General features: G+C 40.1%; 1 protein-coding gene and 1 pseudogene across 5 annotated transcripts in view, besides 1 other annotated feature; one reads left to right on the top strand and one right to left on the bottom strand.

Moving 5' to 3' along the window:
* Positions 1-26,081, top strand: part of SLC45A2 (solute carrier family 45 member 2) — a 40,071-nt gene that overhangs the window by 5,311 nt on the left and 8,679 nt on the right. For 2 of the 5 annotated variants that reach the window (NM_016180.5, NM_001012509.4), the window contains exons 3-4: positions 15,367-15,692; positions 24,879-25,022. In NM_016180.5, the coding sequence (NP_057264.4) occupies positions 15,367-15,692; positions 24,879-25,022 (470 nt within the window). Of the gene's footprint in view, positions 1-15,366; positions 15,693-18,282; positions 19,586-24,878; positions 25,023-26,081 lie in introns of those variants that run through there. The other 3 variants (XM_047417259.1, XM_047417260.1, NM_001297417.4) reach the window with 3 other exon arrangements.
* Positions 495-1,387: an enhancer, noted in NCBI's record as "OCT4-NANOG hESC enhancer chr5:33978101-33978993 (GRCh37/hg19 assembly coordinates)". NCBI's record gives its function as "activates a minimal SCP1, AML or CMV promoter by ChIP-STARR-seq in naive H9 embryonic stem cells {active_cell/tissue: H9 hESC(naive)}" and the evidence as "EXISTENCE:reporter gene assay evidence [ECO:0000049][PMID:30033119]".
* PSMC6P3 (proteasome 26S subunit, ATPase, 6 pseudogene 3) lies at positions 6,455-8,529 on the bottom strand (annotated as a pseudogene).

Here is a 26,081-nt window from a genome sequence, read left to right as displayed (position 1 = left end):
GAACCTTGGTTGCCACAACCCCTTATTTTAACCCAGACGCTCTCTTCTATTGCTTCCAAGTCTATAGATAACTCTTTCAACCAATTGCCAATCAGGAAATCTTTGAATCTTCCTATGACCTGGGAGCCCCACTTTGATTTGTCCTGCCTTTCCAGACCAAACCAATGTACATCTTACATGTATTGATTGATGTCTGATGTCTCCCTAAAATGTATAAAACCAAGCTGTAGCCCTACTGCCTTGGGCACATGTTTCAGGATCTCCTAGAGCTGCGTCACAGGCCATGGTCTTCATATTTGGCTCAGAATATATCTCTTCAAATATTTTACAGAGTTTGACTCTTTTCATTGACAGTATTTTTATGAGTTTCAGACAATATATCCCTTTTGAGATTTTCTGTTGATATTAGTATATGGTATGGTGCCAGCAAACATCAATAATTTTAATATTACCTTCATTCAGGCTCTTAGTACATCTCATCTGAGCTTTAGTACTGTTGATGGAAAAAAATTAAAATATTTGAAGAAGTTTATTCTGAGCCAAATATGAATGACTATGGCTTGGAACACAACCTCAAGAGGTCCTCAGAACAGTTGCCCAAGTTGTTTGAGTTATAGCTTGGTTTTATATATTTTAGGGAGCTAGAAGTTACAGGCAAAGATATAAATCAATAAATGTAAGGAATACATTGGTTCGGCCCAGAAAGTTGGGGCACCTTGAAGAGGGGGGCTCACAGGTTATAGGTAGAGTCAAAACTTTTTCAATTGGCAATTGATTCAGAGTTAAGCTTTGCCTAAAGAGTTGAAGTCAACAGAAAGAAATGCTTGAGTTAAGGAGGATTGTGGAAGCCAAGGTTCTTGTTATGTAGATGAGGCCTCCAGATAGCAAGTTTCAGAGAGAATAGATGGTAAATGTCTCTTTTTGAGTCTTAGAAGGTGTCAGGCTCTCTAAAAAAAAACTGGTAAGGGAAGGAGGTTCTCTACAGGAAAAAAAATCCCCCACAAAAGATGGCTTTGCAGGGCCATTCCAAGATATATCAAAGAAATATATTTTGGGTAAAATGCATTAATTTTCTTCAGGGTCTGTTATCTGTCATGTGATGGTATACCAGAGTCAGGTTGGAATTTGGCATCCTATTGCTATGAAGAGTGTTTTGTATGGCAGTCTTAAGATCTCTATTTTAATGTTAATGCTGGTTAATTCTGTCTAAACTCCAAAGGGAAGGGTTATAACAGGGTATGTCCAACACCTCCCTTCTCATCATGGCCTGAACTAGGTTTTCAGGTTTCTTTGGGATCCTCTTGGCCAAGAAGGGTGTCCACTCAGTCAGTTGGAGGCCTTAGAATTTTATTATTGGTTTGCAGTACTCATCCTTTAACTGTTCTCCAGTCTCCAGTTTCTTCCCACTCCAATTGAGCCAACTGATAGCTTCCAGATTCATATTTTTAAAAGCCAGCCGTGATCAGGACACTTTCCTGCTTGATGAGCTTCAGTGGCTCCCTATGTGCCTCATGGGTAAATAATATTTTCCTAGACAGAGGTTCAAAGCTGCCACAATCTGTTCCCATCCTACTCTCCAAGCTTTACTTCCCATTACTCCTTCCACATTCTCTGTGCTCTGAATAATTTTTCATCATGTTTCCAGGAGCAGCGGGCAGGTCTGTTTTATTCCCTGCATCCCTCACTCCTCTACCACTGCCTTGCATATTGTAGGTGTTCAAAATAAATACCAATGGGACAAATGAAGGAGCCAGCCCTTCCTTCTTCAGGTTCTGGGTCTTTGCTCACATCGAAAGTTTCTTTCTCCTTTTCTGCCTGTGGAGATCAAAGCTGCTTGGAAATGCTCACTCATTTTCTAGGAACAAGGGCCCTCATTCTCTTCGAAACTGCAGGTATACTTAATTTCTAACTTGGTCGGGGACTAGATCCACAAAATAATCAAAGCACAAAAGTTTATTGAGTAGATGAACATGAAGGTGCCAGTGAGGTAGATAACTCCATCAGGAAGAGACCATTGAGGCTGCAGTTGATCACACATACATCCTGAATTTTCATCTCCTCCTGGGGCCTTTATGGTCTGTTTGGGCTGCCATGCCAGAATGTCACTGACTAGGTAAACAGAAATTCATTTTCCCACAGTTCTGGAGTATGGAAATCCAAGATCAAGAAGCTGTCAGGGTTGGTTTCTGGTGAGGCCTCTCTTCCTGGCTGGCAGACAGCCGCCTTCTTGCTGTGTCCTCATGTGGCCTTTCTTCTGTGCACCTGCACCCTCACTGTCTCTTCCTTTTCTTACATGAACACCAGTCCTATTGGATTTGAATTAGGGCTCCACACTTACAGTCTCATTTAACCTTAATTACCTCTTTAAAGGCCTTGTCGACAAATACAGTCCCATTGAGGGTTAGAGTATCAACACAGGAATCGGGAGTACAGGGACACAATTGAGCCCATAATTGAGCCCTTTCACTTTTACCCTTGTTGCCGCTGAGTCCAGCTCCTGAAGCTTGGATGGGATGTGGATGGAGCACACATGCTTTTCTCTCTCTTCCCTCCTCCCCAATCCCTTTTGTTTTCCTTCTTTGCATAATGAAGATATTCTAGAATTTTCAAATAAACAAGAAAAACACAAAAGGTCTTTTTGTGTTCATAAGAGCAGTTATGGAACTGGAGTATTGTGTTCCAATCTAGCTGTTCTCAGGTTCTCATGCAGAATGCTCCCTTTAAGATCTTCTAAAATCCCTCCACCCCTGTCCTGCAGGGAGGGGAAAAAAATCTCCCCCACCCCCCTCACCCCTCCAACCTCCACCCCATCCTTGGAGGGAGGGGCAGTTGGTGGCAAAGGGAAAGTTGGCTCACACCCTGAGGAAAACATTTTACCACCTCCCAGCTTAGATAAACAGTCCAGCCCTAAAGGGCTACTTTCTTATGTCTCTTTCTTGGCCTTTGCCATTTTCCACCTTCCATGTTAGTTATTTGAATACATTTCTAATCATACTCATTACACCATAAACTTCTTGAGGGAAGGGGGCTGTCCAGAGGTAACATACGTGTGAATGAGTGAGAGGATAAGGGATGTGTGAATGAGAGACAATGTTATATGCACTTTAATGATCTTTTTGGGGGACTGGTACTGCCACCCAAAAATCCAGGTTGATTTCCTTCAGCCCTTCCCCGTGTTCTCGGCCCCTTCCCTATCAGCACTTGGTATATGCTTAGGGAATAGAGTGATTAGGAAGGGGTTGTTTGCAAGTCACTAACGCCCACAAAACAGTGGCTTCAAGGCAGATGTTTATTTTTCTTATGTAACAAAAAGTCTGGGAGTACGTGTCTGCTGGCTTTCAGTGAGCTGCTAGATGTCAGAGCCAACAATTTAATGTTTCCTTGGCAGCTTTAAGGATGTATTGCCTCCTGGATGCAAGACAATTGCTACGGGTCCATAGCTCTTGTTTGTTTCAAGACAAGAGGAGGGGAGAGGAGGGTCAGGGAGAAGGAAGGGGGAATGGGGAAAGAGCCTACATTCACTCTTTAAATGAAGAAAGCAAATCTGCCCTAGAAACCTCCCCTCTCCCAGAGCTCTGCTTGTTTCTCATTAGGCAGAATTGGGTTATGTGAGCATTCAGTGGCCTAAGGAGGTTGAAAAGTGAGGGTTTTGCTGGGAGTTGGTCATGTATCTCCCTAAACCACATTGGGGTTTTATTAGCAAAAAGGAAGGAGCAATTACAATTGAATAGACAAAGCTGGTAGCTATCACATAAAATGCAAACACAGTTGAATGTTAGCTTAATAAGAATAATTAAAGACCAAGACTATTATAAGAAAATGAATTAGAGCTTTTAAAGTCCCATATATGAGTAAATAATTAAAGGATAATTATATTTTGGAGTGATATACATGCCTGCTCGCAATTTTACCTGATCTGCACATTTGTTCACTCTCTCCCCTGTATTGTAATTTACAAGGTATTTATCTACCCCTCCTGCAAGATTCGTAAACTCTCCCATGAGGGTTTACCTGCAAATTCCCCATGGCTTCTAATTCATTGCCTTGCTGTTAGCAGGCACTTAAACATGTTAGTTGTGTAAAAGGAGACCCGAGGGTTACATAACCCTGTTTATAATTCATGGTTTTAAATGACACGACAAATTGCATCAATTAGACAAATATGCTCATTTAATTACTTTGTCTCATGACCAGCACTGAACCCCGAACCTCAGCCGACTGTCTCCCGTGCATGTCTTTGCTCATATGGAAGCAGCAGAGGTTGTGTGGATGGCTCAGAGCAATTTCTTTCCCCAACTAGAAAAACAACTTAAAACATCTTCCTCTTTTAGGACAGTGCAGTGGAGTCTCTCACTTTGTTTAAGGCTTAGATTCTAAAGTCCCCAACTCAGTGACAATGACAATCGACATTATTCGTAAATATCTCTCAGATTACTCATAAAATACAATATGCTTTGTTTTGTGTGTACAAACCTGCACATATATATATGCAGATTTGTCTCTCCTTTAATGTTTACTCCTGAAATTAATAGAATTACCCATACTATTTAAAATGTTACTCTTGTCTTTCTTGCAATCTCTCTCTTTCTCCCTGTGTTCAAAGTGTGAATAGTTGAATTCTGGTGAGTTAAATGTGGGATATGTGATCCCACTGTGGTATCCTCACTCTGAATGAAAAACTGCATTAAAAGATGAGTGAAAATAACAAGCAGGGCCTTGTCCCTCTGCCCTGTCTTTGCATACATGCCAAACTTTTTGAATTTACATGCCCTTGACAAAGAGATAACTACAGCATTCCACTTGAAGCAAACGTTTTCCGGCAGAGGCATGTTCAGTGTCAGGGCCCATTTTGATTTTTCATCAACAGCAAAATATTATTCACCCAAGGAATCCAATCATCCCAGTAAACTGAAATTCTTTTTTTTTTTTTGTTTCACTGCTGTGGTTCTGTTCCAGCATTTCCAAATGCTTCATAAATAAGCATCCAAGGGTTCATTACCAAAATATTTCCCAGCATATTTCTGACATTTTTTTGGGATTTTCTAGAGAAAAGACTGTACTGGCTCCTAGGGAGACATTTAATTCCTCTAGCTTCTATCTTTCATATTTAAAGGCAACTCTATCCTCCTCCATCCCTGGCATATGTGGTAGCCATGGTAGGTTTGGTGGGTCCACCCGCATCTTCTCACCACACAGATCCTTCACTCCTGGGTGCACCTGAGGCTGTGGAACCGAGTGAGCTAACAGAGTGGTACTCACCAGGGAAGACTGGAAATCCTTTTGTGCCCAGGGAGTCTAACCAAGCGTATTTCTGCTACTTGAACCCAAGACTTTGCTGTTCTTAGCAGTGGGCTTTCTTGCTTGGCGGGAGGCTGGGATCAGGCATGACAGGAAAGGCCAGCCCTGTTCAGCTCCTGGTTCCTCCTATTCACTGCAGAGTAGCCTCAGCATTTCTGAGCTTTCTTCATTCCTTCACAGGCTTGCAAATCTCTGCACCATGTTAGTTAATAACCACCTTGCAAGGGTCACAGGCACAGCACAATGAACCATCTAAAGGATTTCATCTAACCCAAAGAGATGAAACGCCAAATGTTTATATTTACTTGATTTCCGCTATCCTCACTACGCCTGCAAACATTTTATTTGTAATGACTCAGTGAGAAACTTGCCCCATTACATCCTTGGAAGAAGAATGGGTAACTTGTCAGATATCAACTTCTTTTAACTTTTGTCTTTTAATACTTCAAAGTATGCACAAAAAATGCGAACATGCAACAAATGCTCTAAATAGCAAATAATTAAGGGCTAAGAAAAGAGTCTTAAAAACGAAATTGAAACAAGAGACTCTTTGACTAAACCTTTTACACAGAGGAAAGGAGTCACTTCATGTTTGAGACTGTTTTAACCTTTTCTCTTTTTCATCTTTAGATGAGTGGTTTTGTTTCATCAAACAAAACCTTTGAAGTTCCACCCATGGTAGACTTTCACATCTCCTCATTCAGGCAGCTTGGAAAGGATATGGCCAGGGCAGAAACCAAGGATACAGGGATTTCAGCTTGTGGATAAAAAGGGTGATTTATGCAATTTAGGGTGATTAAGTCTCCAAATTGCCATCTCTTTTCCATTCAAATGGGATCAACACAACTCTCAAAGAATCTCCAAGTCAGATTAGAGAAGTGGGAATCTGGGGGACTTTGTCCTCCCTGTTTCCTCTGCTCGAAAGTGCTTTCCCAGGTACCAATTGGCAGTTGGCTTTTGGCCTCCTTGCTTTGTTACTCTGATCGCAAACACACACCCCCAGCCCTGACTCCCATCACAGAGGTACCCATCATTACTTGACACTGTATTATTTTTTCATTTATTTATTTCTGTAGGTCTGAATCAAACAGATTTTATTCAACTTTTTAGAATGAGGGAAACAAATGATATAAAATAAGTCACAAAAATGCTTTCTTATCCTACTACCTCAAACCATTTTCAATGTTTTACAAAATGCTCACCTAGCAAATACGAAAAGTTTCAACACATTCTTCTCTTGTAACTTCTGCTGCAATAAATGCGATATTAGCAAACATACATACTTCCATATCAGTCCTAAAAGTTGGATTACTGAATTATTATACTAATTTGTATGATGTTACTCATATTTTTATTCATACACTTTTAATGAGATCATTGGCAATACGTATAGTATTTTCTTTAACTTCACTTTCACATTAAGCCAATGTCTTTTATATAGCCATCAAAAAGTAAATTACACAGGTTTATAGTTCAATTTAAGCTCTAGCGTCTTAGAATCAGCCACTTTCTAACCTTTCATGATGCCTTCCTGCTTTGCAAAACCATGATCAGCATGAATTGCAAACATACCTCCTTCAGTACAAGCATTTCTCAGGTCTCCTCCATTAAAGTCATCTGCAAACTTCACAATTACTCCATAATTAATTTCACCATACTTTGTAAGGGGACTTGCATGGATTTTCAACGTGTCTAATCTTGCTCGTTCATTTGGCAAATCAATATGTATTTTTTTCTATCTAATCTTCCTGGATGCAGCAAAGCAAGATCCCGTGTATTTGGTCTGTTGTATTTTAACTCTGCGCAGAGTATCAAATCCATCCATTTGATTCAGTAACTCCATTAAAGTTCTCTGAATCTCTCTGTCAGCTGAAGTACCCTTGGAAAACCAACAACCATCAATAGCATCTAATTCATCCATAAAAATGATGCATGGTGGATGGTCCCTGGCATAATTAAACATTTCTCTGATCCAATGAGCCCTTTCACCAATGTGCTTGTCTACAATAGAACTAGATACAACCTTTAAGAAATTGCAGTCCTGGCCAGGTGTGGTGGCTCACACCTGTAATCCCAACACTGTGGGAGGCCAAGGCAGGTGGACCTGGGCACCATGGTGAAACCCCATCTCTACAGAAGATACAAAAATTAGCTGGGTAACTGGGTGTGGTAGCTCTCACCTGTAATCCCAGTACTTTGGGAGGCCAAGGTGGGTGGATTACCTGAGGTCGGGAGTTCGAGACCAGCCTGGCCAATGTGGTGAAATCTCGTCTGTACTAAAAACACAAAAATTAGCCAGGCATGGGGGTGCATGCCTGTAATCCCAGCTACTCAGAAGGCTGAGGCAGGAGAATCGCTTGAACCCAGAAGGTGGAGGTTACAGTGAACCAAGATCACGCCACTGCACTCCATCCTGGGCAACAGATGAGACTCCGTCTCAAAATAAAAAATAAAAAATAATTAATTAACTAATTAAAAATTAGTTGGGCATGGTGGTGCACACCTGTGGTCTGAGCCACTCCGGAGGCTGAGGTGGAAGGATCACCTGAGCCTGGGAGATGGAGGTTGCAGTGAGCCAAGACCACAGTACTGCACTCCAGCCTGGACAATAGAGTGAGACCCTGTCTCCAAAAAACAAAAAAAAAGGAAAAAAGTTGCAGTCCAGCTGGCCAGCAATAGCTTGTGTGCCAAGAGTGTTTTTCCTGTTTATGGTGGTCCACATAACAAACAGCCTTTTGGAGGTATTATTCCTACAAGTTGGAATAACTGGGTTTGTAAGTGGTAACCCCTCAATTCCCACATCTATTCTGATAGCCCTCCAATCTCAGAATAAGAAACATCCCAGGATCCTCATGAGACATGTTATAAATCAGTGGCTCCACCTCTCTTGGTAAATATCTCATGATAGTTAGTGTAGCCCTATCCAAAGCAACTCTTGTTCCTGGCTTCAGCTACTTTTGTGAAGCTGTCGACGACAACTCCCAACACATCTTGGTCCATCTGCAGCTTTAACAATGAATTTTTCTTCAGTTAATTGTTTAAGCATGTTACTCACAATCTGCCCAACACTTTTTAGGGCCTTCAGATCATTTTCAGACTTTTCATACGGTTTGGTAAATTCTTTGAATTGTTCCCTTAGCTCCTTAAGATGGTGCCCATCTCCATGCACTCTGGCAGCTTCTTGCTGTAGTCCTGAAATATCTTATCTCTAGGGTCCACCATGATGAGAAGTGCTATTTGTTTATTGTTTATTGTCTGTCTCTCTAACCATCACATAAACTCCTCAAGTACAAGAACATTGTGTTTCCTGTTCATTGACCACCACTATCTTGAATAGTGCTTGGAATATGGAAGGTGCTCAAAAAATATTGGTGAGATGGATATTCAGTTTTAACATCTTAATTTTATTAATGATTAAGCTGTGTTGTTGAGAGGTAAAGTGGCTAACCCAAGGTCACACAGCTGGTTAGTGGTAGACTAGGGGTAAAACCAACCAACCAACCAACCAACCAACCAACAAGCCAGTCAGCCAACCAGCTAACCAAAGATGTGGTTCATGAGTTAGTCTGGATTCCTCTAAAAGTTGAACCCCAGAGGTTTGTATACAGATAGTTTATTTGGGAAGGGATTCTAGAGAGCAAGAGTAAGGAAATGGTGGACAGGAACAGGCCAAACAATAAGCATTACAGAGCTGGCTCTGAGGAGGCTTAGGAAGGGCACCAAAGAACTCTCCATGTAGGGGATGAATGAGGGAAGATTAATCCAGTCTGTACTGACTGACTAAGGGTGGTACCATGGGTTTTGTAAGCCCTGAACCCCAGCTGTTTCTGTCTTCCCTCAGTTTAGGCACCATCCAGATGCACCTGTCCAGTGCAAAGCTGGCCGGAGCTGGCTTAGATTTGGTCACTGCAGCAGCTGCTGGAGCAAGGGAGGCAGGTGGGGACCGAGAAGGTTTGCAGTGGCTCACAGGGGCTGTCTAACTCAGCTGATGACTTCTAGTCTGCAGCTTTTTCATTCTAGCATTTGTGCCCTGTGCTCCCTGGTCACCACTAGGAGGAGTTAAAGCATTTTGCAAAACGCTTCACGGTGTGCTGAGCCATTACAACTTAGAACTGGAAATATTAGTTCTGTAAACTTTAAGAAAGCTCAAGACAGCCATAAATGGCTCCAGAACGAGGCCAATTAATGCCTGACCTCCTGCACAGCCTTTTCTTCCTGGGATTCTTACTGCCTCCATGGGGTCTGACCAGGAAATGAGGCACCTATCTTCTTGCTCTTGGATCCCTCAAGCCTTCCAGGGGAGGCTCTGCTCCTCTCTTCCCACCCTCCAACTCTAGCTAGGCCCATCAAGCAGGCAGCAAGACCATCGCCGCCTAAGGGATTTACCAATATGTGTGCACCCATCATGAATGCTCTGTCTAGCCTGGGAAGCCTGGTTCTTAAAGCACATTTTCTAATGAATCTACTCTCGATGCCTTCGCAGCCTAAGGGCTTTCGGAACTCTGAAGCAAGACAAACCATTCTTATTTCTCTGCTCTCTACTGTTACATACTGTCCTCAAAGCAACGAGGCATCCTGGCCCAGCTTAAATGTGAAAGAAGGGCCCAATGAGAGAAAGGGATGCCAGGATTAGAGGTAGGTGGATGGAAACAGTGAGCAATATTTTAAATATATTATCTCAGCATCTTTGAAGAGAAAAGTTGCTTTGTAAACCTAAAGAAATATCAGATCAGCTTGTCTGGTCAAGCTGGTCTTTGACCAGAGCATATGTATCATTTTTTTTTTATTTTAATTTAAAATTTTTTTTTTCTTTTCATTGGGAACACAACACATGTATCATTTTGACTGCTTTTTCTGTACTCAGCCTCCAAGAGGGCAGAGGTCATGTCTGTCTTGCTCATTGATGTATCTCAAGTGTTTAGCACAGTTCCTGGTGAAGATAGGTGCTCTAACAATTTCTATTGATAAACAAATGGGTCAAGGACACCACACACACACACACACACACACACACACACAGAGAGAGAGAGAGAGAGAGAGTAGCTGGTACTTATGTTAACTGTCCAGGATTTAGTATGTACCTGGTGGGAATAAGTAGGAAGCATGCACCTAATCTGACACTTTCATTGCTATTTTTTTCAACATGTAGAAAAGAATCAGAACGACTTTCTCATGAACCCCATGGGAAGATGGGAGTTCTTTAGTCTGTCCTCCTTCAGAGGTAAAGTAGCAAACAGCACATAGCTAGCTCTCATGACTTGAGCTGTGTCAGCCCTGGTGCTGAGCTTGCCAAGCCACACACCTGATGCCTGCAGGCAATTACAGGCAGATGGTAGGTGCAGAGTTTGATTTAGATGGACTCTCTTGAGTTTCCTTTCATCCTTTAGATTCCTTGGTACTGACAGTTTACCAATTTCCCATTTTACCTGTCATAGTTGTGGACTAAAGACAATTTTTTACATATTTCTATATATTTGGACTTCTTCCAGTATGGGCCACTGTTCAAGTTGCATCATTAGTTATGAAATATGACATCTGTCTTCTAAAGCCATTTATTCTGCTGAGTTTGACAACACAGCCTGGCTTGGTGAGGAAGGGGCCAGCTGGACCACTTCTGGCCCTTCTTTGTAAAAGCTTGTTATCTAATGTGGCAGCAGATGTCCTCCGAATGCTCTGGCTTATGGCTTGCCCAATAGCCTGGTGATTGATTCCAGTGGCCTCACAGAGGCTGATTTTGGCAGCAGAGGTAAATACAGTCTGGATGTAGGTGTGGGAGGTGGTAAAATGGTAAAACTATCAGCCTTTATCATAGCGCAATTAGGTTTTGTTGGGGAGATTGTCTTTGAAGATAAAACCCTTGGCTTAAGAAGAAGAAGCAAAAGAAAGGCCTTTAATGAATTCCTGCAGCCCTCTACTGGCCCTCATCATATCTGAGGCAGCAAATAGATAAAGTTTAAATATTTTTTTCCAGTGTCTTAATATTCTGTTAGGATAATTCCCCCAGTGGCCCACTTTGCTTTCCTGGCATGTCGTGTTGTACTATTCTAACTTGCAGCTACAACTACTTCAAAACAGTAGCTTTGGGACAAATAAGACAGTTCTTCCCTTTTTTTTTTTTTACCCCCTTCCCTAAGATAAGAGAGTGCTAATAATTCTCTAAGTTATAGATTATGTCAAGGTTTTAAATTAACACATTAATAAAGGAACCAATGGGGAAGATATAAGAAGAGTTTCCCCCAGGTTCTTGCAGGAAATGTGTGTGTGTGTGTGTGTGTGTGTGTGTGTGTGTGTGTGTGTGTGTCTAGCAAAATAAAAAATGCTAGACTAAATATGAACCTGGTTAACCTTCTACAAGACAAGGGGTTATAAAAGTATAACCCCTCTGTAATACTTTTGGAGTAATTTCCCTACCAGGCAACAAAAACCCTATTCATATCTGCAAACTACCTTAATTTTACAGGACTGCAAATCACTGTGCTTTATCAGTTATGAATTGTGGGTCAAATATCCTGTGACAACAAAGTACCATTTCTCAAGAAAGGAAGTTAGTTAGAAACTGCTGTCACCTGGCCACTCAAAAGAGTGATGCTTGGCCCAGCAGCATTGGTGTCAGTGGTGAGCTTGAAAGAAATGCAGAATCTCAGGCTCCACCTTAGACCTTCAGAATCAGAACTTGCATTTTAACAAGGTGCCCACATGATTTGCGTGCACATTAAAGTTTAAGAAGGCTGCTCTAGAGGAATATTTTAAAAGTCAAGCAGTTGCAATTTTTACACTTTCCAAGTTTGAGATATATTTTACTTTCTTGATACTTGCTACATGCCACAATAGGGTCAGGGGTAAGCCCAGGTCTCAGCCCTCAGAATAATCCATTAGTTCTAATCACTGGGCCTAAAATGACTAAATCCTTTCAGCAAGTTCCAGGCAGGCTGCCTTCAGCCAGTTCAGTGCAGTAGCTATCTTCTGCTTCTAGGGGAGGCTTTGGAATTAGGGTTACTATAGGAAGTCAGCAGGGAGCTCAGTTTTGGGTCTGGTTCTGCCATGGTATGTGCTGGGGCTTGACGTGGATTATTTGCATTAATCCTCACTAAATTCAGATGAGGAGGCAGCACCACCCTTGTTTCTCAGAGAAGTGCCCAAGAGCATGTGACTAGAAAGCACAAAGATAGGAATGGAAATCAGGCACGATTCCAAATCTCTTCTTCCCTCTGTGTGGTCTTCCATCACAGAGTCACTAAAGCTCATAGCTTTCTGATCTAACTCTTCAAATCTCCTTTTACATCCAAAATTTTTGAATTCATTGATATATTGAACTCTTATAACTTTCATTGCTAATGAAGAGAAATCCTGTCAGATTTACTAATAATCGACATCACCTTGTTACTATTAACTAGCACCAATAATGACTCTTTGAAACTCCTCTGTACTCTGAGTACCCAGCTCTGAGTTCTAGCTTATCATTTATTACTGTTTTGAAAGTAGCTTCTCCGGTGGCGGGCGCCTGTAGTCCCAGCTACTTGGGAGGCTGAGGCAGGAGAATGGCGTGAACCCGGGAAGCGGAGCTTGCAGTGAGCCGAGATTGCGCCACTGCAGTCCGCAGTCCGGCCTGGGCGACAGAGCGAGACTCCGTCTCAAAAAAAAAAAAAAAAAAAAAAAAGAAAGTAGCTTCTCCCATTATGTGCTTCTCCCACTTGAAACCACCTTCTGGGGAAAAAAATGGGAAACTGTGTCTTTTTTATGTTTATATCCCCAGAAGTTTGTAGAGTCATTTACATATATTTAGTGTTCGATACATGTTTATTGAACTAAAGTAAACCAGTAGACATGCAACTGCATCAGGAAACTCCCCAATTGTAGGACTCCATTTTCCAAATTAGTCTCTAATACAAATCCATCATTATATGCATATCCTTATATTTTTTCCATAAAATAAAACTACCATTCCATTGCACAGTGGAGGATTTATTTCACATATCAATTCTTTCAAATGAGCAGGGGTCTTCTGCTCTATATTCTTCCAACTGAGGCAATGAGTAATGCTCAGTTGAACAAAAATTTGAAAGATAGAGGCATAAGTGATAAGAAATTGAATGGCAATGTGAAAACCCTTGATCTGTTTACAAATGATAGTTTCGAAAAAGGAATGTGTCTGTCATAGGGTTGACTTAGGTCAGGGGTTCTAAACTAGGGGCCACTTTTCAACCTCCTTCCCTCAGAGATATTTGGCAATATCTAGAGACATTTTTGGTTGTCGTAATGGGTTGGGGAGCAGACTTAATACATTCTTATTGGTTGATTGCTTGGCTTGACGCATGACTTCTGATACCTTCTGCCTCTCTACAATTGAATAGTCATTGTCTAATAATAACCAGAGGCACTACAAATCCCAGAACATTCTTCTGAATCAGTCGTAGAGTGTGGCTGTTTCAGGACCTTCTCTTTCTCTCAAATCCTGGGCACTTCACCATCATCTGTCCTTTATCTGTTTATGTATATGCTCATCACATATAACTAGGCCATAAATTTCTTGCTTCCAGAGACTATATGTCTTACTTCACTGTGCCCCATTGGCCACAGTTTCTTGTAATTCTGCCTTAAAACACTTCAGCATTCAGGACATGCTAATGATGCTTTATTTTTGGAATCCAATGATTAGATTGTTGGTCCTCCTTAAATAGGCTCTATGTTAAATTGCAACTAACCAGAATATGAAGTGACCAAAATTGTCTACTCTCTCACTAATTTGAATAAATTAGGATTCATGGTACTTGACATTCAGGTTTGTGTTCTTGAGGTCAGAGTTTATGTAACTTTAGATGTTTAGGGTTAGAGAGGAACTCCTTTAGTTCTATTTTCTTCCTTGATTCTCTAGCTTGTGAAGATATTGTCCTTATCTGAGAAATAAAATAGAGACTTCACTCATACACACACACAAAAAAAATCAAAAACAAAAATGAAAGCTGATCTGTTCAGCTAGATAAGTTGTGGTTGGTAGGCATGATGGGAGTTTGACGTTTAAAGAATTTTGACAGGAGGATCAGTCCTACATAAGTTTGTGACATATGTAGTGGATGTGTCCAGCACTCAACTCTTTAATTCCCTCGACATCCCATAATATGTCCACTGCCCCCTCCCCAACCATGCTATCTCCCCACCTTTATCAGAAGTCACTGATGTCTGCACCAGAAGGAACATCTGAGGAACAGTTACTACTTTGGTGCTGAGTAATTTCTTGCCCATACCAGGAACACGTGTATTTTAAAACAGAAACTCAAAAAAGGAATAACTAATAATGGGATTTTAAATATCAGATAATTAGGATTGAATAGATTTTGAGGAGCCTTTCCTCAGTATCCCTCAAGTGACACAATGTTTAAGCCTGAGAAGATAAAACAAGCACCAAAAAGACCTCAGGTTGGAGTCCTGGGAAACGATAATAGGATTTTTAAAAATTCATGTTTAAACTTTTGTTCTCATTATTTCCTGTTCCCAGCTATCAACTGGGAACAAGTACCTTGAGCTTCTAATAGAGGAAGAAAGACAGCTTTTGAGGGTGTTTCATCTTTGCAAGCTTACGTCATCCCAGGAAGCTTAATAATAAGAAACTGCAAGTCATTTAATTTTATTGCTGCCAGAAATTGGTTTTCTTTGGGGCTTTTTCTGGTCAGAAATTTAAGTTCAAAAGCAGTCTAGAGAATGCACTTTGGAAAGGTCACAGTATCTCTGATGGTAGCAATACTTAGTAAGCCCTTGCTATGTGTCTGGCCCCATCCTGAACACTTTCTATTTTCAAATCATGACCCTACTAGTAGGTTACTCTTTTACTATTACCTCCATATTCTGGGTGAGGAAGCCCAAGATCACAGCAAGTAAATGCTAGAGCCAAAACTTGAACCCACATTGCCTGGCTGTGTGTTTTTCAGCCTCTTGCTGTATTGCTTTTCCAATTATATCCAGGTTGCCTCTGCTGTCTTCAGGGAGTTTTCCCACTGAAGGGGAGTGTCTATGCATGAGGAAAATGAACGATAATTTGCTAAATATGCTAACATAGCTTTTCTTGCTTTCCAGGTTTTGGAGGTGCCCTGGGTTACCTTTTGGGTGCTATAGACTGGGCCCATCTGGAGCTGGGAAGACTGTTGGGTACAGAATTCCAGGTCATGTTCTTCTTCTCTGCATTGGTGCTCACTTTGTGTTTTACTGTTCATCTGTGCAGTATCTCTGAAGCCCCACTTACAGAGGTTGCAAAGGGCATTCCCCCACAGCAAACCCCTCAGGACCCTCCATTGTCATCAGATGGAATGTACGAGTATGGTTCTATCGAGAAAGTTAAAAATGGTTACGTAAATCCAGAGCTGGCAATGCAGGGAGCAAAAAACAAAAATCATGCTGAACAGGTAAAGATGCAACATTTTTTCTTTACAAGGGAAAATATTCTTGCTCTTTGTTGTTGTTGTTGTTTTTTTAATTGTTTGTTTTGTCTGTTTGACGAGAAGAGTTTCATGGGGTCTAACTGAATTCCCAAATCCCCCGTAGCTATCATCCCTTGGAATTAAAATTTTATATCTCAAAGAAAAATGTCTGCATTTTCCTCTGGTCCTCCTGTCTCTTACTCCTCTCAGGTAGCATCCAACCAGGGAAGATGAAGCCAGTTGAGAAAGGTTAGGCAACAAGAGAAGCCTAAAATCATCCTTAGGCCAGAAGAAATATCCCCTTAGATTAGGATCATAAATTAGAAATTTTTTCCTCCAAATGGTAGCATCCTTGGGTTGGTGACTGAGTTGGGCATATCGAATTTGCCTGTCATGAGTTGATTGGATATTTTCGTTCATTTTCAGCGAACTGCACAGTGAATTCATCAGCTTAAAATTTGAAATAAAACTCAACTAACTGCCAGAGAAATGAGACCATGTTCAGATGAAATGATCAGAGAAGAGACTAGAATTAAGCTGAGCAATATAGTAGCTAATAATCCCGTGGGGCTATTTAAATTAAAATAAAAATAAAATTAGAACTTCATTTCTTCAGTTGCATTAGCTACATTTCAAATGCTCAAAGGCCCCATAGGGCTTCTAGCTAAAATATAGGACGTGCAGATGTAAGACATTCCCATCATTGTAGAACGTTCTGTTGGACAACACTGATGAAATAATTGCATTTTCCTTCAAGCTAAAATTGAATGCCAAAACCTCAGGGATATAGAACAGAGGATTTCTTGATTGACAAAATGTTGTAGAAGACTTAAGTTCAAATCTTGGTTCCTCTAGCTGCTGACTTGTGTTATTCATTCAGTGAATCACAAATAGCTACTTGCTATAGGGTAACCTAAAGATTAAGAGCACAGTGCTTAAATCCTGGCTGTACCACCTCTGGATTGCATGACTTTGGGCATTTACATTTGTGTTAAATGATAAAATAATTCCATCTACCTACAAGGGTTTCGTGCAGGTTGCAGGGGCTAATTCAGGTAAAGTTACTTAGAGTGTTTGCAACCACATAATAAGCTGTTGGGTTTAGGCCTTGTTATTTTGACCCTGGCAGAACACTAGAGTGCCTTAAGCACAAACAGGGAACACAAATCTGGACTCCAACAACTTTCAGACAAGCTCAGTGAATCTCACCTTCCTGTGAGGTCAACTTCTTTTGTTGGCTTGGCCAGTCTATTTTCTAGGATTATTAGGATGTTCAACTAAGATAAAGCATACAAAGACACTTTTTCAAACTTCACATAAATATATCAATACATTATAATCATTATTCATTTAACAAACAGCTTGGGGTACTGAGTATGTGCAAAGCACTGTACTAGATATTTGGGGACCATAAAACTGACAAATGTCCAGTCTCTATGCCCAGGAATTTGCAGCCTAACACGTGGCATATGCCATTTATACCATGACTCATAATCCATGATAGAACATGGTAAATGCTATAAAACAATGTATCAGTTCAGATCTTTTAAAAAGGCACCAAGATAGGATTTGACATGTAAGAGATTCATTGGAGAAAACAGCATGAAAGATAAAGTGGAGAAAGCAGAAATAGGAAGGGAAAGTCTTCTTATGTTGATGCAAGTCAAACACCTGTGAAAGGAGAAAGGAAAGGAAAGAGGATAGGGTAGGAAGCCTCTCAGATGCAGTGAAGTTTCAAGAAAGCTTCACTCAGGCCAAATGGGAGTCCTCCAGCCAAAGTTGCTCCTTAGAGGAGTCCCAACTCTTGTAGGAACAGGCTAACACTAATACCCCCCGTCTTGTTAGTCACTATCTGGGAACAGCCAGGAAAGGGGTAACTTTGGCAGGAACAGGTACAGGAACAGAGTTCCTTGGCAGGAACAGGAACAGTGGATCCAGAGAGGCAGCATTCAGCGCTGTCGATCAACTGTGTTTTCTCTGGTAGGTGACCCAAACGGCACATTTCCAAGGTGGCCACAAATGGCAAAATAGCAATTGCTTTTAGTTTTAAAGAGGGAAGGATTGTGCCTAAATAAATGGAGAAAAGCGTTATGGAAGAGATCGCCCCTGAGTTGTGCCTTGAATGATAGTTAGGATTTGAATAGAGATTTTGGGGGAAAAGTACTTCTGACAGAAGAGCATCAGCAAAGCCACAGACATAAAAAATTTTTTTTAAAGCATGAAGCATATTTGTAGAAAGTATAAGTGGTACCATAGATCACAGAGTTTGTAACTTTAGAAATAAAGTTAGGAAAGCAAATTGGAGACACATTTTGGAAGCTTTTGAATGCCAGCATAGGAACTAAAATTTTATTAGGTGGATGATGGAGGTCCATCAAAACTAGTGGGGCAAAGGACTCCTTGATGTTAGCTTTTTTTGGTTGGTTTTTTGTTTTTGATATTAATCCAGCTGCTGACTACAGGGAATAAAGAGGTACCCAGGAGGGTTTATTTGGGTGAATAATAAGATGTCTTGGAATGAGTTGCACTGTGTGCTTGGTTCATTCACTTGTGCATTCTTTTATTCATTCAATAGCTATTAATTACACCTGCCAGACCCAGTGCTGAGCATCAGAAGACTAGTGAACACCACAGCCCTTGTTCTACCCCATGGAGTTGTCACCTAGAAAAGTGTGCCTATGTGTTATTTTGCTTTCTTAATCAAAGTTTAATTAGATTTACAAAAAAGTTGCAGATAGTAGAGAGAGTTCCTATGTATGCTTCACCAGCTTTTCTCTTATGTTAACATCATAGAGAACCATGTACATTTGTTAAAATTAAGAAATTAACACTGCTTCAATACTGTTAGGTAAACAGCAGACTTATTTGAATTTCACCAGTTTTTCTACTAATGCCCTTTTTTTAAAAAAAATGTATTTCCATAGGCTATTGGGGAACAGGTGGTGTTTGGTTACATGAGTAAGTTCTTTAGTGGTGATTTGTGAGACTTTGGTGCACCCATCACCTGAGCAGTACACACTGCACCCAATTTGTAGTCTTTTTCCCCTCATCCCCTTTCCACACTTACCCCCTGAGTCCCCAACGTCTGTTGTGTCATTCTTATGCCTTTGCATCCTCATAGCTTAGCTCCCACTTATGAGTTAGAACATACAATGTTTGGTTTTCCATTCCTGAGTTACTTCACTTAGAATAATATTCTTCAATCTCATCTAGGTCACTGCAAATGCCATTAATTCATTCCTTTTATGGCTGAGTAGTATTCCATCATATATATAAAAGATACCTGCACACACGTTTACAGCAGCACAATTCGCAATTGCAAAAACGTGGAACCAACCTAAATGCCCATCAATCAACAAGTGAATAAAAAAACTATGATATATATATATATATATATGTCAGATGAATGTCCATAATAAAAAAAATAGATGTTGACGTGGATGCAGTGAACAGGGGACACTTCTACCCTGCTGGTGTTGATATAAACTTGTACAACCACTATGGAAAACAGTGTGGAGATTCCTGAAAGAACTGAAAGTAGAGCTACGATTTGATCCAGCAATCCTATTCCTGGGTAATATCCTTTTTCTGATCCAATCTAGGATACCACATTACATTTAGCTAAGCGGTTTACAAAATTTAAAAACGGTACTTTATTTTAATGGTATTTTAAGGAATTTTTTTTGCTATGTATAGTCAGTAGAAAACCTCATTTTTTTGTATACAGTTATGTATATAAATAAAAGCAATACATCTTAGCTGTTAGTTATAAAAGTGTGTAAGTAGTTTTCCCTTGAGATCAAGTGCTTCCTCCAGTATTGTTTACTCTGTTCATTTGCTTAGCATTTTTCCAAAATAAATGCAAAAGTAAACTTCGACACTGCTCATGTTTGAATTGGCAAAATGGTTGAGTATGATCTGCTGAAACGAGGCCTCATTCTATAAACATGACTGCCTTCAAGTTGAGTTGCCACAGCGCATCAACCTGCCTCTCGCCATGCCACTTGATAGGAGAATACAGTTGAAGAGAGTAATCTATTCATCTGATTCCAACAGTAGCTCCTATTTTAGGATGAGTGCAGTGTTTTTCATAACTGTAAGAGTGCAACGAGGAACTAAGAGGTCATTGGGATAAAGCCTTCATTTTATCTCAATCACACAAGTAGAGAAAATTTGAGATTTTAGGTCTCCTAATGCCTGGACTCAACCCCCTTTCCCTACACCAGGCTGCCTGGAGGAGAATACTTGTACTCTTTGACTCTCCTTCACCAAGAAGCCAGAACTCTAAGATTACTAGTTGGACTGGAGCCCTCTGTGCATTTATGCAGGACAGCCAAAGAATCACGGAATATCTATATGATAACATTCATGCGGTCATTAAAAATGTATGTTTCCGAAGGTTTACTAAAAATATATCAGGTAAAATATACATTACATGCACAAAACCATCTTTTTTTGGGAGAAAACAAAGCTGCATAACATAGAGGAAAAAATGGAAAGGAAATATACAAAAAATGAAAAGTCTGGATGATAGGCTCACAGGAAGCTTTAATTTTCTATTTTTAAATCCTGCAATACATCCAAAATTTCTATAATAGATAAAAAAAGGGAAAAAGTAATCAAATAATGTGAAAGTGAAAATTAAAAAATAATGTGGTGATTTGGGGAACAAAACAAGGTGCGGTTTTACTAAATAAAAGTATATACGTGATAATAGATAACACCCTGATAGATTATCTACCTCTTTGATGTCCCCTTCGATAGACTGGGACTCCCCCTCCAAGAGTCGCATAGGACAGGGGTCGTCCCATCCACTCAGAGGCTGCTGTGAGGATCACATGAAATCAACTGAGTGGAAGCCTTTTGAAAGTCATGGAACTCCCACACGAGTACAAAAATAAATACAACAGATACAACGAACTTTCTAGTAGGGGCCACATGAAAAATGTTGTAGACTCTGAATGATCTTGTTATTTGGTTTAAAAAACAAATTGAGACCAGTGCAGTGGCTCATTCCTGTAATCCCAGCAACTCATGAGGCCAAGGTGGGAGGATCCATTGAACCCAAGTGTTTGATGCTGCAGTGAGCTGTGATCATGCCGCTGCACACTTGTCAAAGCAACAGAGAGAGACCCCACCTCTAAAAACATAAATAAATAAGCAAATAAAATAAGACAAAAAGTTAAAGTAAGAATATAGCACAGAGTAATGCATCTTACTCTCAAAGCCATGGATTTGCACTTCTCTTCCAAATGTGTGCCCTGGGAGGTCTCCAGTTAAGCAAAGGAAGTCTGCACTTCCCCAGGGTCAGGGCCAAGGCTTCAGGGCTGTCATTGCTTGCCAAAGACATTGCTTTCCAAAATAAGGGTGGCTGTGTAATTTAAGAACAAATTTTTCTTTTTTAATGGCAAGAGGGCTGAATTATTTCAGAAGTTTAAACCAGATCTCATAAAATCTATCTCCAATTCCTCCATGTCGTCAGTTGCTCCCTTTAACATTTAAATAGTCTCCTTTTGAGGGTATGTTTGTGAAGTTTTCTTTCTCCCTGATGACTCTGTACCTTTTTCGCTTGTAAATTCATCACTACCCAGTCTCCAGCTGACAGTGGTGCAAAATAAATGCAGTAAAACAACTCCCAAGGTTTCAGAATCATTGAAAGGTTTTTACCAAGGGAATTGATGAGTCAGGAATAATATCCCAGCTGGGTTTTTATTCTGAGTTAAAATATACAAAGGGGCTTTGAATATTTACACTCTCAGCTTTTACAGAAATACTATGCACATTTTGAAAGCTCATATTTATTTTTAGAAGAAAGGAGAAATTAGGCTAACAATGAAAGCAGGCTGAAAATTATGTATAAGTCAGAAGCATATATTAATATTTAGAATGAGGCTGAGTACTTGCTGACCAGATTCGCTTTCTCAGTTTTGCATTTTTGGAAGGAGAGGAAGGAAAGTGATGACAAACCATTTAGTTGGAGGCATGAAAACCAGGCTGTTGTTTCTTGGGCTATTGTTAGCTGCTTCTTTCTGTGGTTGAGGAAAAAGTAGTAATTCTGCACTTCATTTTGGTTATAATCATTTATTTTTACAGGTACCATATTGAACTTGCAGAAAAACAGTTATTTTCCTTCAATCCAGGGAGATGTCTATAGTGTTTAACACTGATTATCAGAAAATGAGTATAGTTATGGTCAGTGGGCTAGATACTGCAAGACTGATGAATTTTAAAAAATCAACTTACACAACAAAATTAAAATGGGCGAATATAATTTTCCACAGCAAAGAAGAAAAAAGCATGATTATATAAGGTTAAGAAGTATAAAAAATATGCTGTTACAGTTAAAATAGAAAATCTCAGTAGACTGTCTTATAAACTAGCCAGTACTCAATGTCGTGATTCAGAATAAATAAAAATATGACAAGAAAGACCAATTACCAAATTGTGTCTGATGTTTATGGTCTCAGTGTCTTCAGGGAAGCTAATCAATTAATATTCCCAAGGTTTCTTTCTTCTCTTATATGACAAGATGCTAAAAGCTATTATCATTTTTTGTATTTCAAAACAGTTGTATCAATAGTTTAAAGTTTCTCATTCTCTCAATGTTTCTGAAACCAGAAAAACTATAGCTTCTAGTTTTAACCTAATTTAAATCTAAATTAAGGAATCGGGGCCTATATATTCATTTTTTACATATATGTGTGTGGGATGGGCCTTCCTAAAGTTAATGGAAAAATAGAATTAAAAGATAAAAATTAAAAAGAATAAACTTTATTTCTTAATGTAAGCTCCATTGAGTTCATTGCTTACTTTTGTAAGCAATGATACCAGCCGTTTAGCCCATCCCTAAAGAACTGGGGGTCCTGGAGATTTAGCTATGTCAATGCAGCCTTTTTTACAATATTAACTGAAAAACCATGGGTGCCCTTTATAGATTTTTTAAGATTAGGAAACAGAAGTCAGAAGGAGCTAAATCAGGACTCTGGGATTGATGCCTAAAGATATTCCATCAAAATTATCACAACATTGCCCTTGTTTGATGATAGGAATGAGCAGAAGCATTGTTATGGTGGACAAAGACTTCCTGGTGAAGCTTTTGTGTGTTTTTCTGCTAAAGCTTTGGCTAACTTTCTCAAAACACTCTCATAGTAAGTAGATATTATCAATCTTTGGCCTTCCAGAAAGTCAACAAGCAAAATGCCTGAGCATCCCCAAAAAAACTGTTGTCATGGTCTTTTCTCTTGACCTGTCTGCTTTTGCTTTGACTGGACCAATTCTACCTCTCGGTAGCCATTGCTCTGATTGTGCTTTGTTTTCAGGATCATACTGGTAAGGCCATGTTTCATCTCCTGTTACAACTTTTTGAAGAAATGTTTCAGGATCTTGATCCTGCATGTTTAAAATTTTCATTGAAAGCTCTGCTCTTGTCTGCAGTTGATCTGGGCACAATACTTTTGGTACCCATTGAGTGGAAGGTTTGCTGAACCTTAACTTTTCCATCAGAATTGTGTGAACTGAACCAACTGAGATGTCTATGGTGTTGACTATTGTTTCTGCCATTAATTGTCAGTCCTCTTCAATTAGGGCATAAACAAGATTAACTTTTTTATTTGCAAACTGATGTAGATGGTCTGCCCCTGAGGACTTCATCCTTAACACCATCTGGTTCCTTCCTAAAATGAGTTATCCATTTGTAAACTGCTGATTTCTTTGGGACATTGTCTTCATAAAGTTAAAAAAAAATCAGTGTTTCACCATTCTTCTACTGAAGCTTCACCATAAATTTGATGTTTATTCTAGCTTCAATTTTAGTAGAATTCATGTTGCTCTGTTAGGGGCTCTTTTCAAACTGATGTCTTATCCTTCTTAGTGCCTCAAACTAAATCTTCTTCAGACATGCTATAACAAGTTAGTATGAGTTTATATTGCTTCAAAAAATTTTTGGAATCCATGCATAATTTTTTCATAATATGCATTTTCCATTAACATATTGAAGACCGTGTGTGTGTGTGTGTGTTTGTGTGTGTGTGTGTATAAACATATATATTTGAGTTCTACATTGTTCTTACTTCTAACTCAATGTAAGGCTCATTAACATGTTTCTGCTATCATTAGGATTCAGAGATATAACCTGGGAGGAGACATCTGGCTAAGAACAGGGAGCTGACTGGCTCTCTGTATTAATGTTCTAATGAATAAAAAATTTTCACAAACTTAGCTGCTTAAAACAACATCAGTTTATTATCTCACAGTTCTGTAGATCAGAAGCCTGGGTAAGCTGCACTAGGTTTTCTGCACAGGGTCTTACAAGGTTGAAGTCAAAGTGTTAGCAGAGCTGTATTCTCATCTGGAAGCTCAGTGGGAAGAGCCCGCCTCAAAGCACATTCAGGATGTTGGCAGAATGCAGTTCCATGTGGTTATAGGATTGAGGTCCCTGCTTTCTTGTGGACTGTTGGCCTGGAGTTGCTCTCAGCCCCTAAATGTCACTCTCAGGTCCTTTCAAGTGGCTTCCTCCACCTTCAAAGCAGACATTTCTTGTGCTTTGAGTTGCTCTGACTTTCCCTTCTACTACCAGCTGGAGAAAATTCTGTACTTTTCAAGGGCTCATGGAATTTGGTTAGGATCAACCAGGTAATCTCCCTTTCAATTAACTCAAAGTGAGCGATTAATAACCTTAATTATTAATATATCTGCAAAATCCCTTTGCCATGTAACAGCACATAATCACAGGGATGACATCAGGGGACCAAGATCATGACAGACATCTTGGATTTGCCTACTATGCTCTCACAGTTAAGAGACCCAAGAATTATAATCATCTAAGAGCTGGCTTATGTCTGTGAGCTTTGTCCTTGTGCAACAGTTCTGTCATTCAGACATAGGATGCTCAATGTCTCCTACACCTTGGCCTGAAGCTAGCACCATTCTCATTCCCTTTGCCCTTGTGTCCAAAGCCTCATTCTGGGCCTGAAACTGCCAAGCAGCCACTCGTGCTTAACAGAATACCTCCTGTGAGTCTACTCCATGGAAACCTAGTTCCATGTCCAGGAAAAGTGACACTTTGTGTGATGGCTGACTGACAAATACATAACATGTCTGTGTGTTCTGGCTCCCTTAGCTGGCTGAGTTTCTGCAGTGAAGATCACACCTCTGTTTCATGTTTTATTTCAGACTCGCAGGGCAATGACATTAAAGTCACTGCTGAGAGCACTGGTGAACATGCCTCCTCACTACCGCTACCTTTGCATCAGCCACCTCATTGGATGGACAGCCTTCCTGTCCAACATGCTGTTCTTCACAGATTTCATGGGCCAGGTAATGAACGTGTCTGTGCACACAATCACTGTTACACATCATTTCCTCCATTAACACCTGTTGAGGTTCTTCTGGGCTATCCTCTAAGATTGGCACAGTAAGAATGTAGGAAAGGGTACCATCAAGAAGCTGACTTACAGACAGGTGTAGAAAAATGCTACTATACCCTGGACAACTAGAGGACACTACGGAGCCTGCCAGTATTTAATCAAATACAACAAATAGTTGACAGTGGGGTGTTAAAGTCTCCCATTATTAATGTGTGGGAGTCTAAGTCTCTTTGTAGGTCACTCAGGACTTGCTTTATGAATCTGGGTGCTCCTGTATTAGGTGCATAAATATTTAGGATAGTTAGCTCCTCTTGTTGAATTGATCCCTTTACCATTATGTAATGGCCTTCTTTGTCTCTTTTGATCTTTGTTGGTTTAAAGTCTGTTTTATCAGAGACTAGGATTGCAACCCCTGCCTTTTTTTGTTTTCCATTGGCTTGGTAGATCTTCCTCCATCCTTTTATTTTGAGCCTATGTGTGTCTCTGCACGTGAGATGGGTTTCCTGAATACAGCACACTGATGGGTCTTGACTCTTTATCCAACTTGCCAGTCTGTGTCTTTTAATTGCAGAATTTAGTCCATTTATATTTAAAGTTAATATTGTTATGTGTGAATTTGATCCTGTCATTATGATGTTAGCTGGTGATTTTGCTCATTAGTTGATGCAGTTTCTTCCTAGTCTCGATGGTCTTTACATTTTGGCATGATTTTGCAGCGGCTGGTACCGGTTGTTCCTTTCCATGTTTAGCGCTTCCTTCAGGAGCTCTTTTAGGGCAGGCCTGGTGGTGACAAAATCTGAACAGACACTTCTCAAAAGAAGACATTTATGCAGCCAAAAAACACATGAAGAAATGCTCATCATCACTGGCCATCAGAGAAATGCAAATCAAAACCACTATGAGATATCATCTCACACCAGTTAGAATGGCAATCATTAAAAAGTCAGGAAACAACAGGTGCTGGAGAGGATGTGGAGAAATAGGAACACTTTTACACTGTTGGTGGGAC

This window comes from Homo sapiens, chromosome 5 (genome assembly GCF_000001405.40).
Source record: "Homo sapiens chromosome 5, GRCh38.p14 Primary Assembly".
NCBI classification, from domain to species: domain Eukaryota; kingdom Metazoa; phylum Chordata; class Mammalia; order Primates; family Hominidae; genus Homo; species Homo sapiens.
Note: the sequence above shows the minus strand (reverse complement) of the source record. Positions and strands in the feature narration are given on the sequence as shown.